General features: G+C 41.6%; 1 protein-coding gene across 8 annotated transcripts in view, besides 2 other annotated features; it reads right to left on the bottom strand.

Annotated features, from left to right (window-relative positions):
• Positions 1-15917, bottom strand: part of REPS2 (RALBP1 associated Eps domain containing 2) — a 249998-nt gene that overhangs the window by 20551 nt on the left and 213530 nt on the right. The gene's annotated exons all lie outside the window — the stretch shown is intronic.
• Positions 763-1263: an enhancer, noted in NCBI's record as "H3K4me1 hESC enhancer chrX:17192965-17193465 (GRCh37/hg19 assembly coordinates)". NCBI's record gives its function as "activates a minimal SCP1, AML or CMV promoter by ChIP-STARR-seq in naive H9 embryonic stem cells {active_cell/tissue: H9 hESC(naive)}" and the evidence as "EXISTENCE:reporter gene assay evidence [ECO:0000049][PMID:30033119]".
• Positions 1264-1764: an enhancer, noted in NCBI's record as "H3K4me1 hESC enhancer chrX:17192464-17192964 (GRCh37/hg19 assembly coordinates)". NCBI's record gives its function as "activates a minimal SCP1, AML or CMV promoter by ChIP-STARR-seq in naive H9 embryonic stem cells {active_cell/tissue: H9 hESC(naive)}" and the evidence as "EXISTENCE:reporter gene assay evidence [ECO:0000049][PMID:30033119]".

Raw genomic sequence — 15917 nt, 5'->3', positions numbered from 1 at the left:
TACCCAAGGACCAAGCAGATTCTGGCAGCCTAGGGCAGCCCCCCCAACCAAGACGTGGGTGCTGGTTATTGGGTGGCACACAGCTAGATGTATTCCCCATCCTGCCTTGGCTTAGGCATTGACATGTGACTGAGTTCTGGCTAATGGAATGTGGACAGAAGTAAGGTGTACTGTGTCCTCACCTGGGCTGTGGAACCTCCTACAGGATCCTCCATGCTTCCTTCCCCCACCTGCCTTTCTGAGGCAGAAGACCTAGTGGATGACACTGAAGCTCTAGGGGAGGGTAGAGCCTCAGACAGAAGGGACCTGGATCTCTGCATGACTGCATGGAGCAAAACCTTCATTCTCACACGGCCAGCTGGACTTTATGTGAGCAAGAAATAAATGTCTATTGTGTTAGGCCCCTCAGAATTGGGGGTTTGTCTGTTATAGCAGCTAACATTGCCTAAATTAATTCAATGAAGAAGTTGGACCATGACAAAAGCAACCTTCAGTATTGCACTATTGAGCCAAGGATGGGCCCTGATGGCAACAACCCTAATGAGAGGCAAAGAAACTCACACAAAAAAACTAGCTACCTGGATCAAAAATGTCCCTTCCCAATTTGAGAAGCAGGGTGGTATGCAAAAAACAAGTGCTATGCAGGCCAGCAGGTGAAAGCATGAATTCTGCTTTTGTCCTTTGCTAGTGATGTGACCTCACAAGGAGGCTTCCTCTCTACGGCTCAGCTTCTTTATCTGTAAAATGGAGATAACCGTGTCTAATTCTTGTGGTTCTATCACTCAGATTCAATGAGGTTATGCATTTAATGTGCCCATACAATGCCTGACACCTAGTAGGCCTGCCTGAAATAAGAGTTTTCCATTTTCTTCCTTGTCTTTCTCTACACCACCGTTTCCCCCATAATCACTGGGCAGTGTTTGACCTCAGCAAAATGGCACACACAAGTACCTTCTCCCAATTTCTCAAGCGTAGGAGAAAGGCAGAGGCTGGTGCTGGCCTTCTCTGTCATGCTGGGGCCACTTGACCAAGGCTTTCATTCCCTTGATTGATCACGTTCATTTCGAACTGCATTTGGCTGCCCAGAGAAATTCATCTCCAGCCTTCACAGTGAACTGGAAGGCTGGCCTGGCCCCAAAGACACCTCAGCAAATCTGCTACCCAGCTCCAGTGGCGGGCAGCCAGGCATCTGGTCCCTCAGTCTCAGTCATGCAGCTGTGACTGACAGGCAGCAGGGAGCTGAAGCTCTGATGTGAGGATCTGCTTTGGCTTCTAGAAAAATAGCAGCAGCAGCAGCAGCGGCGGCGGCAGCAGCAGTGACAGCAGGCTCCATTGAAAAGCAGCCCTGCCAGCACAGCTGAGGTTGATGCCCCGCTGCCCAGGGACCCACACCGGAGGGTAAAACAGCAGGTAATTGATGGCTTCCCAAACTAACTTAGCAGACTGAGTTGACTCTGGAGTTTAAGACAGAGGTTTGATTCCAGCCTGACCCTAGCAGGCCATTTCCTGACAGCTCAGAACAGAGAACAAGAACTGAATGTTGCTTCCTCAGCTGTATGCAGAAATAATCCCTGGCAAACGTGGGTGGCTCTAGCAGTGGGTCTCAACCCTGGCTGCACATTAGAATCACCTGGGAGCCTTAAAAAATCCTGATACCCAGGCCACGACCCTGACCAATTACATCAGAATTTCTGGGGTCAGGACCCTGGCATCTGTCATTTTTAAAGCTCCCCAGGTGATTCCACTGTGCAACCAGAGGTGAGAATCGCTGGTCTACAGCTTTCAAGTACGGGCCCAAGCATTAACTCCCTTGATGTACGCGAGGTAGTGTAAGTGCTGTTAACCCTATTTGACAAAGGAGACAATAAACTCAGACAGGAAGAATAATTTGCTTAGTCATATGCTTGATGAGTGAAGAAGCTGGGATGCAGTTCAGGCCTTTGGTATTTAAGTCAGTCACCTTTTGCCTACCCTTCTGGCCTCATCTTCTATAAAATGGGAAAAGCATTAGTACCTACTTTACAGGGTTGTTGTGAGGATGAAGTAACTCAATTCTTTTTTTTTTTTAATTCATTTGACTTAATATGTACATATGACCTTTCAGTGTGCCCAGGATTATTCAAGCACTTTACAAATGTTAACTTAGGTTAGTTTGCTAAAATGCCTCCTGCGCCCTCCTACACCACCCGGGGAAATTGATCTAGGGAGCAATTTAGCAACACTATCAATTGCCTCTAAAATATGTGAACTTTTTAACCCAACAAATCCATCTTTTATAATTTGTGAAAATGGAATAATTAAGGGCCTATGAAAAGATTGAACCACAAGGGTAATAGGGTGATCACTGCAGTTTTATTTAAAATGACAAAAATATATTGGAACACTAAGGTTCAAATATAAGGGATTCATTAAATAGTGTATCAAAAGCAGAAATAGTGTGGCTCAATTCTAAGTGGTGTATGGCAAATGGATCCTAGAGTAGCTTCATGTTCACACCCTGTGTAATGCTCTCCACTTGTGGAGTGTGAGCAGGACCTGAGACTTGCTTCTAACAAATAGAATATGTTAAAGGTGATGAGGTGTCACTCTTGTGGTTAGATTATGATAGATAGAGATAGAGATATAATACTTATCTTACAGGCCTTAAGGAAACAAACCACCATGTTATGAACTGCCTACAGAGAGGGCCACCTGGCAGGCAACTGTGGATGGCCTCTAGGACCTAAGGGCAGCCTCCATTCAACAGCCGGGAAGAAGCCAGGCCCTCAGTCATACAGCTTCAAGAAAATAAATTGCGTCAACAACCCAAATGAGCTTAGATGAGAATTCTTCCCCAGTCAAACCTCCAGATGAGAACACAGCTTGACCTACCTCATGCTAGCAACCTTGTGAGACTCTGAGCAGAGAATCAAGCTAAACTGTGCCTGAACTCCTGATTCATGGAAACTGTAAGATAACTAATATGTGTTGTTTTTAGCCTCTGAATTTGTGGTAATTTGTTACATTGAAATAGAAAACTAATAGAGGTATTATTTTAGATGAAAGACATTTATAAAATATTATTAAATTACAAAGCTCAGATTATAAAGGACTATGATGCACACACACACACACACACACACACACACATACATACACACAGACTGAAAAATAGCAATATAGTAAAATTTGGAATGACTTTGATTTCCTTCTTTTTGATTCTCTGTACTTTCTAAAATTACTTTTATTATTAATATTAGAAAACAATGAAAATAAATACTAAATAAAATATTCAAGTGTTAACAGTGGTTATCTCTGGGTGGTAAAATTATGTATTAATTTTATATTCTGAAATTCTAGGAAGTTATTTGAATTTTTCTGCTTTGAAGAGCTGACACTGCCTAGTGTAATTAAACAGAATAAATAAATAACTCTCAATTGTTTGTTCCAGTATAGAAAAAATTCTACCATCATTGCTCCCAGATTTAATTAAGACAGAAAAACCATCCACCTAGGGCCTGTAGTCCATTCTCACATTGCTATAAAGAACTACCTGAGACTGGGTAATTTATAAAGAAAAGAAGTTTAATTGGCTCATGGTTCTACAGGCTGTACAGGAAGCATGGCTAGGAGGCCTTAGGAAACTTACAATCACGGCAGAAGGTGAAGGGGAAGTAGGCACATATTATATGTGTGGAGCAGGAGAAAGAGAGTGAAGGGGGAGGTGCTACACACTTTTAAACAACCAGATCTCATGAGAACTCACTATCACAAAAACAGAAAGAGGGAAATCCACCCCCATGATCCAATCACCTCCCACCAGGTCCCTCCCTCAACACTGGGAATTATAAATTCACTATGAGATTTGGGCAGGGACACAGACCCAAACCATATCAGCCTGTCTGCCACAAATCAAGATACAGGATAACAGAGCTAACAGCACAAATTCTAGTATGACATGGCCAGGATTCTAAGCCTGGCTACCCAAGTATTGTATTTTCTTAAATTGGGCAAATTATTTGGCCTTTGTATATCTGTTTCCTCATCTATAAAATGGGATAATATCTATCTCACAGGGCAAGCGTATCATGGGGACTCAATAAGATCTGTATATAATTTATCTTTAAGTGAGCCTGACACGTAATAGGTACTCAATGAACATTGGTTAGCGTTACCACCATCATTATTATTATTAACCAACCTCCCATCCTAGGGGTGGCCAATATTTCAGTCCCAGTATTATTCTTAGGTTCAATTCTTAAAACAAGTGCAGAAGAAAAACATAAGAATTATAATTATGGGCCAGGTGCGGTGGATCACGACTGTAATTCCAGCACTTTGGGAGGCTGAGGTGGGTGAACTGCTTGAGCCCAGGAGTTTGAGACCAGCCTGGGCAACATGGCAAAATGCTGTCTCCACAAAAAAAAAATACATAAAAATTAGCCAGGTGTGGTGGTGTGCACCTGTAGTCCCAGCTACTAGGGAGGCTGAGGTAGGAGGATTGCTTGAACCCAGGAGGCCAAGGCTGCAGTGAGCTGTGATCACACCACTGCGCTCTAGGCTGGGTGACAGAGCAAGACCTTGTCTCAAAAAAATTATAATTATGGCATATATGTTCAGATATTAGAAGGAATCTCACATCTCTTGAAAGACCTAAAGTGGATGCTGTGGGATGCTGAAGACACATTTTGCCCATTTCAATGTTAGAAAGAGGTTTAATAAAATTAGCGTTATGCTTCTGCCAGGATGACATGGGGTGGTTGGAACTGGCCATTTAAGAATCTGAGTCAAGCTGGTTTGAGGTTTATTGCATGCTATAATAAACTGGTTAGTTATGGTGTGAGGTGAACCAGGTCTAGGTCAAAGCTCTCTCTCAACATTCCAGAGGCCTCTGGGAGCTGGGTGGGAAGCACTCCAAGGCCGCCATGAAGCACAGCTGAAAAGATACAGCTGCCCTTGGGATATTGTCAAAATCTGGGCTTGGCTGGGGCAGGCCAGGCCAAGGAGACTTGACAAACAGGCTGGAGCAGGGGAGAGGCCAACACCAGGGGACCTGTAAGCAGGGCGTCTGTTGGTGTGGCCACAGGCAATAGGCAAACACCCTGCCAGCCAGACAGATGGAGTCAAGGATGTCCTACAAAGTTTTCCCTGTCTAAGACAGACCTGGCCTTTGGAGTCTGGCAGAGAGAGGTGGGCAGAGGCTAGGCCAAGCCAACCAATGTCACAAAGGAGCAAAGTTACTAGTGGCAGTGCCACAGCTCCAAAGTGCCAAGGATGGCTTGTTGTCTCAAGGAGCAATTCGAAGGGATGAGTCTCTCAGAAGCATGTGGCTCCAAAACACTCCCATGGACAGGCACTGAATTTCCCCAAGTGACCAGAAGTGAAATCCATCTAAATCTTTCCCCAGAAAATTCCTAAAGATCATCCTATTTCCTCAAGAGGGCCTGTGTCCACTCACAAAGAAAAACTAAGCAACCAAATGGTGGTATCCATTTTGTTTAGATTAGGATCTCAGTAGTGCATGGCAGAAAGGAACAATGTATCCCAGACTCAGAGAAGGGACAGTGCCTCTCTGGCAGGTCCAGCATTATTACCATTATCCTTTAAAAGAACCTTCGGATGTGTTTGTTTTTGAAGAACTGGCCTTTGAAGATTCCAATCTTGAAATGCTAGAGCAAGTTTTATAACTAACAACCAAACAGATGGAAACAAGTTTAGGCGTAAATATTTTCTTGTGCATGGTAGGACTGTCCACAATTTAACCAGTTTCTTACCCTGGAAGGAAATGTCTAACTTGAAAGGACACTCTACTCTGGTGCTTTCCTTTTTGCTTTCATAGCCAAAGCCACATCCAGGGCATTGTCTTCTTAGTACCAGAACGCTGGAGGAGCCATTTTGCCCTGCCTTTGGCTGCTAAAGCCTACATCTCCAAATCACTGCTCTGAGGTGTACAATACCCAACTCAAATTCCTGTGATGGTGCCAACATTCATCAGGGCAACCAATGCCAGATGCTGTAGCAACCACCAAATCTCAATGAATTAACATGATAAAAGTTTATTTCTTGCTCATGCAAAGTCCACTCTGTTGAATGGTTCTCCTCCAAGGGGAGACTCAGGAATTTGGGGTGTGTCCATCTTGAGGTTCTACCATCCTGTGGGTGTAAGATTGCCTGGGTATCATCCAACTGCCAGATGGGACAGAGGGAGAGCTTGGAGGGTCCTATACCTAAGCCCTAGTCATCTCAGCCTGAAGGTTACACACACCCCTGCCACTTGCATCCCACTGGAGAGAACTAGTCATGTGTAAAGAGAACTGGGACAAGACAGTCCTTGGCTGGGTAGACCCTCCCTGGCAAAAAACTCAACACTACAGAATGGGGAACCCAAATCTTTGATTGTCAGCCAGTCTTTTCTTCCATAGTGCTTCTTTTGTTTCTTTTTTTGAGACAGAGTCTCACTCTATCACCCAGGCTGGAGTACAGTGTCATGATCACAGCTCACTAGAGCCTCAACTTCCCAGGCTCAAGCAATCCTCCCACCTCAGCCTCCCAAGTAGCTGGGACTACAGGCATGCACCACCACACCTGGCTAATTTTTTAACATTTTTTGTAGAGATGGGGTCTCACTCTGTTGCCCAGGCTAGTCTCAAACTCCTGGGCTCAAGTGATCCTCTTGCCTCGGTCCCCCAGAGTGCTGGGATTACAGACATGAGCCATCATGCCTGGCCCCACAGTGCTTCTTTACCTACTGAATTAATGCTGAAATCTTTAGGATGGCATTCAAAGCCTAATGTACCCCCAATTCACCATGGATGCCATCTTCTAGCTCATCAGGATGATCCAGTTTTCCCCTGGATATATCAGTTAGCTTTCCTTGCATAGCAAACCATTCCAAAACTTAGTAGTTTAAAACTACACGGTTCTTCAAGTCACAATTTGCACTGAGCTTAGCTGAGAGGTTCTTCTGGTCCAGTTGTGCTCACCCATGTCTGTGGTCAGCTACTGAGCTGGCTAAGGGCTATAAGTCTAGAAGTTTCCTCAGCTGGGACAGCTTGTCATTGCTTCACATGGTCTCTCATCCTCCAGCAGGCTAGTCCTGGCTTGCAAATATGGCAGTTTCTGCTTTATGACAATGAGAGCAGAATGGTACTGAGCTACCTGAGGCCCAAGCTTAGAACTCACACAGCCTCACTTCTGCAGCATTTTATTGGACAAAGCATGTCAAAGCCAGCTCAGATTCAAGGGGTAGAGAACAGATTCCATATCTTGATAAGAGGAAGTTCAAAACTACTACTGCAACCAATGTACTGTGCTCTCCCATGCCTTCTCTACAACGTGCCTCTAACTGAAACCTCCCCTTTCTCCTTGTCTTTGCCTGTGGACAAGACCCAGTTCAAATGCCTCTGAATCCACAATGGCTTCTGCCTTAGTTTAAGTTGTTCCAGAAACAGAGCCTGAGAAAAGAACCTGAGCACAGATATTGAGTGAAGAAGTGAAGACAGTAAAACAGATATGGAGGACAAGCCAATATAAGAGTGCTCTACTGAGATCACTGTTGTAGGCAGTGAGAGGTAAATTCCACAGAGATCCCTGAGAAGCTATGGGATGCCTCTCAGACAGAGTCTTGCTCTGTTGCTGAGGCTGGAGTTCAGTGGTGCAATGTTGACTCACTGCAACCTCCACCTCCTAGGACAAGAGATCCTCCCACCTCAGCCTCCCAAGTAGCTGGGACTACAGGCATGCACTACCATGCCCAGCTAATTTTTGTATTTTTTGTATAAACGATGTTTCACCATGTTGCCTAGGATGGTCTCAAACTCCTGGGCTCAAGCGATCCTCCTACCTCCACCTCCCAAAGTGCTGGTATTACTGGTGAGCCACCATGCCTGGCCCCTACCTTCTATTGGTTGAGAGTTACCCCACTGAACAGTAACTTCCCCACACTTTTAAACTGCTCTTGCACCAAGCCAGCTCCCACAGCATTAGAGAAAGCCCTGAGGCAGAAAGATACATGTGCCGACTTGAGGTGGGATGCTGTCAGCATGACTCCAAGTTTGCCTGGAACTATCCACTGCAGCTGTGTTTGAAACCAGAGGGAGACCAGAGGTTTTGTGAGGTGCCAAAAATGTCAGGTATAATTTCCCTGATATCTTGTTGGAAGTAAATTCTTCCTCCTCAGAGATCCTGTGCTCCAAAGTTTCCATCACTCCAGTGGCACCCATCATACAGTTTTTAATTGCAGACATTCATAAATGTGTATAATCTCCCCTGCTGAACTACAAGCTCCTGGAAGACAGCAGCCACATTGGATAGAAGTTTTTAAAATCCTATCTTGGCCCCTAATGCAAAGCTCTGTCAGTTTTGTTGGCTGCGTAATGGAAGAAACTCCTAGATCCAAGACATTGAAATGTACTATTTCACTCATTTGCTCTGTCAACATGTAACTGTAAGTGCCTACAATGGGTAATACCAGAGCATCTGTAAACAAACAAACAAATAAAAACAAGCAGAAGACCCGCTCCCCCCAGTCTTGAGAATCTTTTAATCTAGTTGTATATATAAACCACACATACATACCATAAAGACTAAAACACCCAAAGCAACAAGTAAGCATGTCTAAGGCAGTACCATGGGAGGGAACTGAGTGGACAACAGTTAAGTAGGGAAGGTTCAGGAGAGGTGTTACACTGGTCTGGCGGCTGTAACAGAAGTCTATCTGAAGAAGGAGATAATACAATAAAAAGGCAGTGCTATCTTCACCAAATGGTTCAAAATTGTTACTATGTTCTTCAGATCATAGATATAATATGCATGCTTTATAGAAGATTTGGAAGAAGCCAGAAAGAACAAAGAACATAGTTAGTGCTCCCTCATAATCCTACCACCCAAAGGCAATCTCTGAAAACATTGTGGCATAGTTCCTTCTTGCCTTCTTCCTACATATTTATTTTATATGGTTGAAGTCATACTGGGTATTGATTCCTGGTTTATTTAGCATGAGAACTATAAGAGATAGAGAAAATTAAATCCAACTCCCACACTGTATACATGAGAAATAGAAGCCCCAAAGAAATCAACATAAAAAGGCCCCAGAACTGAGATCAGAATGGAGGTGTCCCAATCTTAATCCAGTCCTCTTTCTATATGACACTACCTCTATTTACCTTTTCCTCACCACATAATTGTGAATCCAGACTACAGAAACTTATGTTTGGGGCTTAAAAATTCCCAAATCAGTATGTACACCTAAAATTGTCTGTGTACATATGTATGCACCACTGTGGAAAGAGCTAATGGCCACCAACATGGCTGCTATGAGAGTTAAAGAAGATAACATAAATGAGAAAGCACCCAGCACACAGCAGGGACTCTGTGTGACTGGGACATACACATGTGTGTAGAGAAGGGCAGAGAAGAAATCCCAGCTCTGTTTTCCCTACACATCCTCAAGTGTAGGCACACAATGTTCTGTAGCTCAGGCTGGAATATAAAATAAACTTCTCAGCCAGGAAGGTGGTTCTGCCAGGTCTCCTCTGTGTCTGGGTGGATTCGTTTTTCTATAAACTTTATGGTCCTTTGCAAAGAATGACTACAAGTGCTGCAGATGTTGCAGGCTCCTGTGAGCAGATGTTCATGACTGTAAAAATCTCAGGGAAATTATACCTCAGCCTTTTAAGTCAATGAGCTAAAACCCAACATAATGTTCTGGGCTCATTTATTATTTTCCCCCATTACAGCAGGCTGTGTATTAGTAGCAATGAAACAACTGCACTTCTTGGGGAGTAGCCCACGGTCACTGGAGTCCCAGATAAGCCCAATCACTCTGTGTCTTAGCCACTATAATTCTTTTTTTCTGGGCTTAACTGACAACACAAACCCTCTGGTACCAGAGGAGAAATACATTCAGGGACTCTGTGGGTGACAAAGAAAGCAACACCTCTTCCACCTCTCTTCCCACAGCAACTTCCAACCCCGCTATTGTTATTATCACACAGGTCAGCGGCGAGAGAATCAGAGCATCAAAAGAGAGCTTTGGAATTCTTTAGCCTCCCTCTTGTGCTGGAACCCAATATAAACATAAAAATTATGTATAATAATCATGAAGGCATAAAGGAATTTTAGGAATAGAGCATTAGAAGAAGCCACAGCTTGCTTGCTTTTTTCTTTCTCTCTTTTTTCTTTATTTCAGCAAATGCAAGAACATCTCTTTTGTTCACATATATATCAGTGCCTTTTGCAAGGAGGGGTCAGGTTACTTGTATAAAGCTATGAATAATTTCTCTTGCAGAGTAAGGACAGGGCATAACATTCTCACCACCATGAGCAAACAAGTACACAGGCTGTTCTTTTTCCTCCCCACCACCCAACCTCTCCTCCCTTCATACCACTCCTGCTTCCCAAGCTTAGAAGTAAATGAGTAATTAAAAACAACCTCCCTGGCATGATGCTTCGACATTAGGCCAGGGCATTGCAAAAAGCACGTTCCAAGTAATTTTCAAAAGCAGAGTCTGTTCAAAAGCACACTCTGCTCCTCCCTCAGACAACTAAATAGGGTGCAGATTGGTTTACAATCTGATTCCCTGCAAATGGAATAAAAATGGAGTAGCAGCCCTTAAAACAGAATTCTGGGGAAAGCCACATGAAAATATTGAACCCACTTTAAATGCCCAAGGGGAGAACAAGATTCCCAGGAAGGCAAACACTATGAACAATTTCTAACCAGCAAACAAATAGGCACTTCATTGCTGAGCCCATCCCAAGCAAAGCAGCCAGAAGCCACCCTGGTTCTTTTGGTGGCAGTAGGCAAAGGTCCAGGTTCCCTTAGTTTATCCAAACTGGTTCATCATCCACTTAAATATGCAGAGTTTGTTTTCAAAAGTCATTGCCAAAGGCTTCTCTCACAGTCTGACTGATTCAATAGATCCATGGAGTGAATCAGGGCTGCTTAGTAAGTTTGGTGGTCAGAAGCTGAAGAATTTCCCATCTGATGGTTTCTCTATGAAAATAATGACAAGTGTATTTCCTGTAAATTCAGTTCAAGTGGTGTGTGAGTGTGTGTGTATGTGTGTGTGTGTGGTGGTGGTGGTGGTGGTGGAATGTCTAGGAAAATGAAGACGGTTAGAAATAACCCCTGCAGAAAATGGGAGAAGGGGAGCTAAGGACATAAAAGATAACTGTTTCAAAAACACCACAGAACTGACTCAATAAAGGTTGGTTAATTTTGTTCATCTTTTCAAATACCCAGATTTTGGTTTCTCTATTGTTTTTATATTTTCTATTTCTCTATTGTTTTTATATTTTCTATTTCATTAATTTCCATTCTAATCTTTGTTCTTTCCTTTCTTCTGCTTTCTTTGGGTTTAGTTTTCTGTTGTTTTTCTAATTTTCTAACAGTGGAAAATTAGGTTATTGACTGGGGATCTTTCTCCTTTTTAATGTAGGTATGTACAGCTATAAATTTCTCTGTAAGCCCTGCTTTAGCTGCATTTCACAAGTATTGTCTATTTCTTGCTTCAATTTTGACAGCTTTTGCTTCATGTATTTTAGGACTCTGCTGTTAGGCAAACATATGTTTATGATTGTTATATCTTCCTGATGAATTGACTCTTTTATCATCATAAAATGTCCTTCTTTGTCACCAGTAACAATTTCTGTCTTAAAGTTTATTTTGTCTGATATTAGTAGAGCCACTCTAGCTCTTTTTGATTACTGTTTCATGATATATCTTTTTCTGTCCTTTTGCTTTCAACTTATTTGTGTCTTTGAATCTAAAGTATATCTCTTGTAGACCATGTATTATAGGATCATGCTTTTTTTGTAATCTATTCTGTCAATCTCTGCCTTTTGATTGGAGTGTTTAACCCATTTATACTTAATGTAATTATTAATAATGTGAGATCTACATCTACCATTTTGCTATATTTTTGAGTCATTGTCTTAGTCATTGCCCTGGGTATTGTAACTTACATTTTAACATATAAAATTTGTATCCTAACGTATAAAAATCTAGTTTCACAACTTATTTTCAATAATATACAAAAACTTTTCTCCTACATAGTTCCATTCCTTCCTGCCTCTTTTGTGCTGTTATTTTTCTACAAATTACATCTTTATATATTATATGTTCATCAACAGATTTATAATTATTGATTTATGTAGTTGTCTTTTAAATCAGAGAGGAGAAAAGAAAGAGTTACAAACAAAGTATATTTATACTGTTTTTTATCTTTACCTATGTAGTTACCTTTACTGGTGTTCTTTATTTCTTGATGTGGCAACTTACTATCTAGTGTTCTTTCATTTCAGTATTTAATATGTCTTGTAGAAGAGGTCTGCTTGTGACAAATTCTTTCCATTTTTGTTTATTTGAGAATGAAACTTCATGTCTAAAGAACAGTTTTGCTGAATATCAAATTCTTGGTTGATACTTGTTCTTTCAGCACTTTGAATATGTCATCCCACTATTTTCTAGCTTCAGTGGTTTCTGGTGAAAAATCACCTCTTAATCTTATTGAGCATCCCTTGTACGTGATGAGCTTTTGCTACTTTCAAGATTCTTTCTTTACCTTTGATTTTCAACAGTTTGATTATGAGGTGTCTTAGTGTGATGCTCTGAGTTTTTCCAACTTGGAATTCATTGAGCTTCTTGGATTTGTAGATTCATGTTTGTCATCAAATTTGGGAAGGTTTCACCCATTATTTCTGCCCCTTTATCTGTTTTCTCTCTTTCTGGGACTCCCACTATACAACTAATGGTATGCTTGACAGTGTCCCATAGGCCTCTGAGGCCCTGTTCATTTTTCTTCATTTTTTAATTTCTTTCCTAAGAATGAACAATCTCAATTCACCTATCTTCAAGTTCACTGATTCTTTCTTCAGCCTAAAGAAATTTGCTGTTTTTCCCCTCTGGTACTTTTCAACCCTGAATTTTTATTTGTCTGCTTTTATAATTTCTATCTCTTTATTGGTATTCTCTATTTGGTGAGACAACATTCTCATTTAGTTTTTAAGATATGGTTTCCCTTCACTGTTGAATATATTTAAAATAGCTAATTTAAATTATGTATTTGTCTAATAAGCCCAAGATCTGGGCCTCCTCAAGAACAATTTCTATTGATTGTTTTTACTCCCATATTTGGGGCATATTTTCTTGTTTCTTTTTATATCCTATAATTTGTCATTACAAACTGGACATTTTGTATAATGTGATGTGGCAACTCTGAAAATCAGATTCTTCCTCCTCCCCATGGTTTGTTGTTGTTGCTGTTTGGTGTTGTTGCTCTTTGTTCAGTGACATTCCTGAACTAATTCTGTAAAGTCTGTATTCTTTGTCTCTACTCAGCTTAGTAGTTAATAATTGTACCGTCATTTCCTTAAATGCCTTGAACCAATAAATCTGAGTCTTTGCTGAGGGGTTCTCTGTGCATGTTAGGACACACCTTTAACACTCAGCCAGTATGACTGTTCTTACAGTTCTTGTCTAGATGCAGCCATTTTTCTTTAATTGTTATAAGCCATTGGTTAATTTACAGAACTAGTTTAGAACTCTGTCTTAGCCTTCCCTTTCTGCTTATGCAGAAGCCTAAGGTCAGTCAGAGGTGACCTTCTCAGTTATTTCTTGAGCATGTACGCAGCCCTGAGTATGCACTCAAACCTGTACATGTGAACATGTGTGTAGCCTTCTAAATTTCCAGGAATATGTGACAGCTTTTCAAGGCCATCTATGAACATCTCATTCCCTAGTTTTTCCATTTATGTTTTTTAGTTAGCTTGTTATTTGTCTCAACTTTTACCACTGCCTCAGGCAGCCATGATATTAAACAATTGTTGCCAATTGTTTTTGACAAATGCCCTTGAGGAGAAGGCAGTTCACACTGGATGAGCTCTGAGTCAGGTCAAATAAAGACAAGCATTGTGAGTGAGATTTCCCGGGGAACTATAAAATAGGTCAAATTATGACAGTTCTCTAAGAATGGAGCTTTGAAAGAGCTCCAACTCTGTTCTGACTCACCCAGTGGCTACCAGGTTGCTGGTTTTCACTGCAGTTGCATAGATCAAGCACACCTAAGCCAGTCTTTACTTCTTTACTCTGCAGGCTATTAGTTTTCAAGGCTATCACAGAACTGGGGAGAGGAAGATGGGAAACGGACAAGTTAAAATATCAGAAGCAGCCACTAAGCCACTATACCTCTAGGATCTTTTCCATTTTCCAAAAGACAGTCTTTCATAAAAACCATGAATGCTTGGAGAGATCAGAAAGGGCCTTTTATCTTTTGGTCTTTCCCCAATCCCATCCTACTCCAACTCCAAGGAATACCTGGGTGGACACCATAATGTTGGAAACTGAATACAGACTTTGTATTAGTTTCCTATTGATGCTGTAGCAAATTGCCATAAACTTAGTGGCTTAAAATAACACTGATTATCTTACAGTCTCTTAGGTCAAAAACATGAGTACAGCATGGCTCAACTGAATCCTCTGCTTAGAGTTTCTCAAAAAAAAAAAAGGCAGGAGATCAGCAGGGTTATGATACTTTCTGGAGGCTCTGGGGATGAATCTGCTTCCACGCACATTCAGGTTGTTGGCAGAATTCAGCTCCTTGTGACTATAGGGTTAAGGTCCCTGTCTCCTCACTTGTTGCTAGCTATAAACCTTTCTCAGTTCCTTATGGTTGCCTTGCATTCCTCATTACATTGCCCACTCCATCTGCAAGTCTTTTTCATGCTTCAAATTTCTCTGACTTCCTCTTCTGCATTTAAGAGTTACTGTGATTACATTGGGTCTGCCGGATAATCCAAGATAATCTCCCTATTTTAAGGTCAACTGATTAGTAACCTTAATTGCATGTGTGAAATCCCCTTTGCCATGTAACATACTATAACCACAGGAGTAGCATCAGAGGGTGGAGATCATGACAGCCAAAATTCTGCTTATCACAGTCTGCCCTCTGGTGGCCCCTATAATTCCCATCTATTCCATATGCAAAATATATTCACCCCATCCCAAGGTCCCCAAAAGTCTCATCCCATTACAGCATCAAATCAAAGTCCAAAAATCTCATCTAAATCTCACTAGTTCAAAAGTTCCACATCTTGTCATTTACATCATCTAAACTAAGTACAGATATGGCTCAGGATATAATCCCTACAACTTCTGGGGCACAATTCCTCTCCATCTGTGGATGTATGAAACTAAAGAAACAAGTTATCTGCTCTCAACATACAATGGTGGGACAGGCATCGGGTAACAGTTAAAGACATTATGTTTTTAAAAAAGAGGAAATGGAAGGTAAAAAGGAATCATTGACCCAAAGCAATTTTTAAGTCCAGCCAAACTCCATTAGGTTTCAAGGACTAGAAATAATCCTCTGTTGGCTCTCAACTTTACCTTCTGGGCTCTCAGCTTCACCCTCTGGACTCTTGGTCCCACCCTTTGAGTCATCCTCCCTTTTTTATGAAAGTTGGTATTTGTTTGTACCTAAGTGTTTATATCAGCTTGCTGCCTGCCAGCAGAGTTTGGGGGATATAACAGCCTTCTTCCATTTAAGATATTCTCTGTTCCTTTTGGTGCAAGCCAACAGTGTTTCTATTAGTATACAATTCTTAAGAACTTTGGGAATCTCCCATGGATGTCACGGAATGAAAGCCAGGTCCATAAAATTTTTGAAATAACTTCATCTGTTTTTGACTTCTGCTAAAATGGCTGAGGGATAATGCTCTTAAGCTTTCTAAATACCCCCTGGTTTGATTGTGAGAATCTGTGAGTCACACATTTAACCTCTTTAGAGAGCCTCTGTGTGACTGAATACTTTGACCTTGGCAATCCCAATAGACTAAGGATTTCCCAAATCATCAAGTACTGGTTCCCTTTTGTTTAATGGTTCTTCCCTCAACTTCTCTCTTTCCTCTCACATTTAGCTAAAAAGAAAAAGAACAAA

This window comes from Homo sapiens, chromosome X (genome assembly GCF_000001405.40).
Source record: "Homo sapiens chromosome X, GRCh38.p14 Primary Assembly".
Lineage (NCBI taxonomy): Eukaryota > Metazoa > Chordata > Mammalia > Primates > Hominidae > Homo > Homo sapiens.
This window is presented reverse-complemented; position numbering and strand designations above follow the sequence as displayed.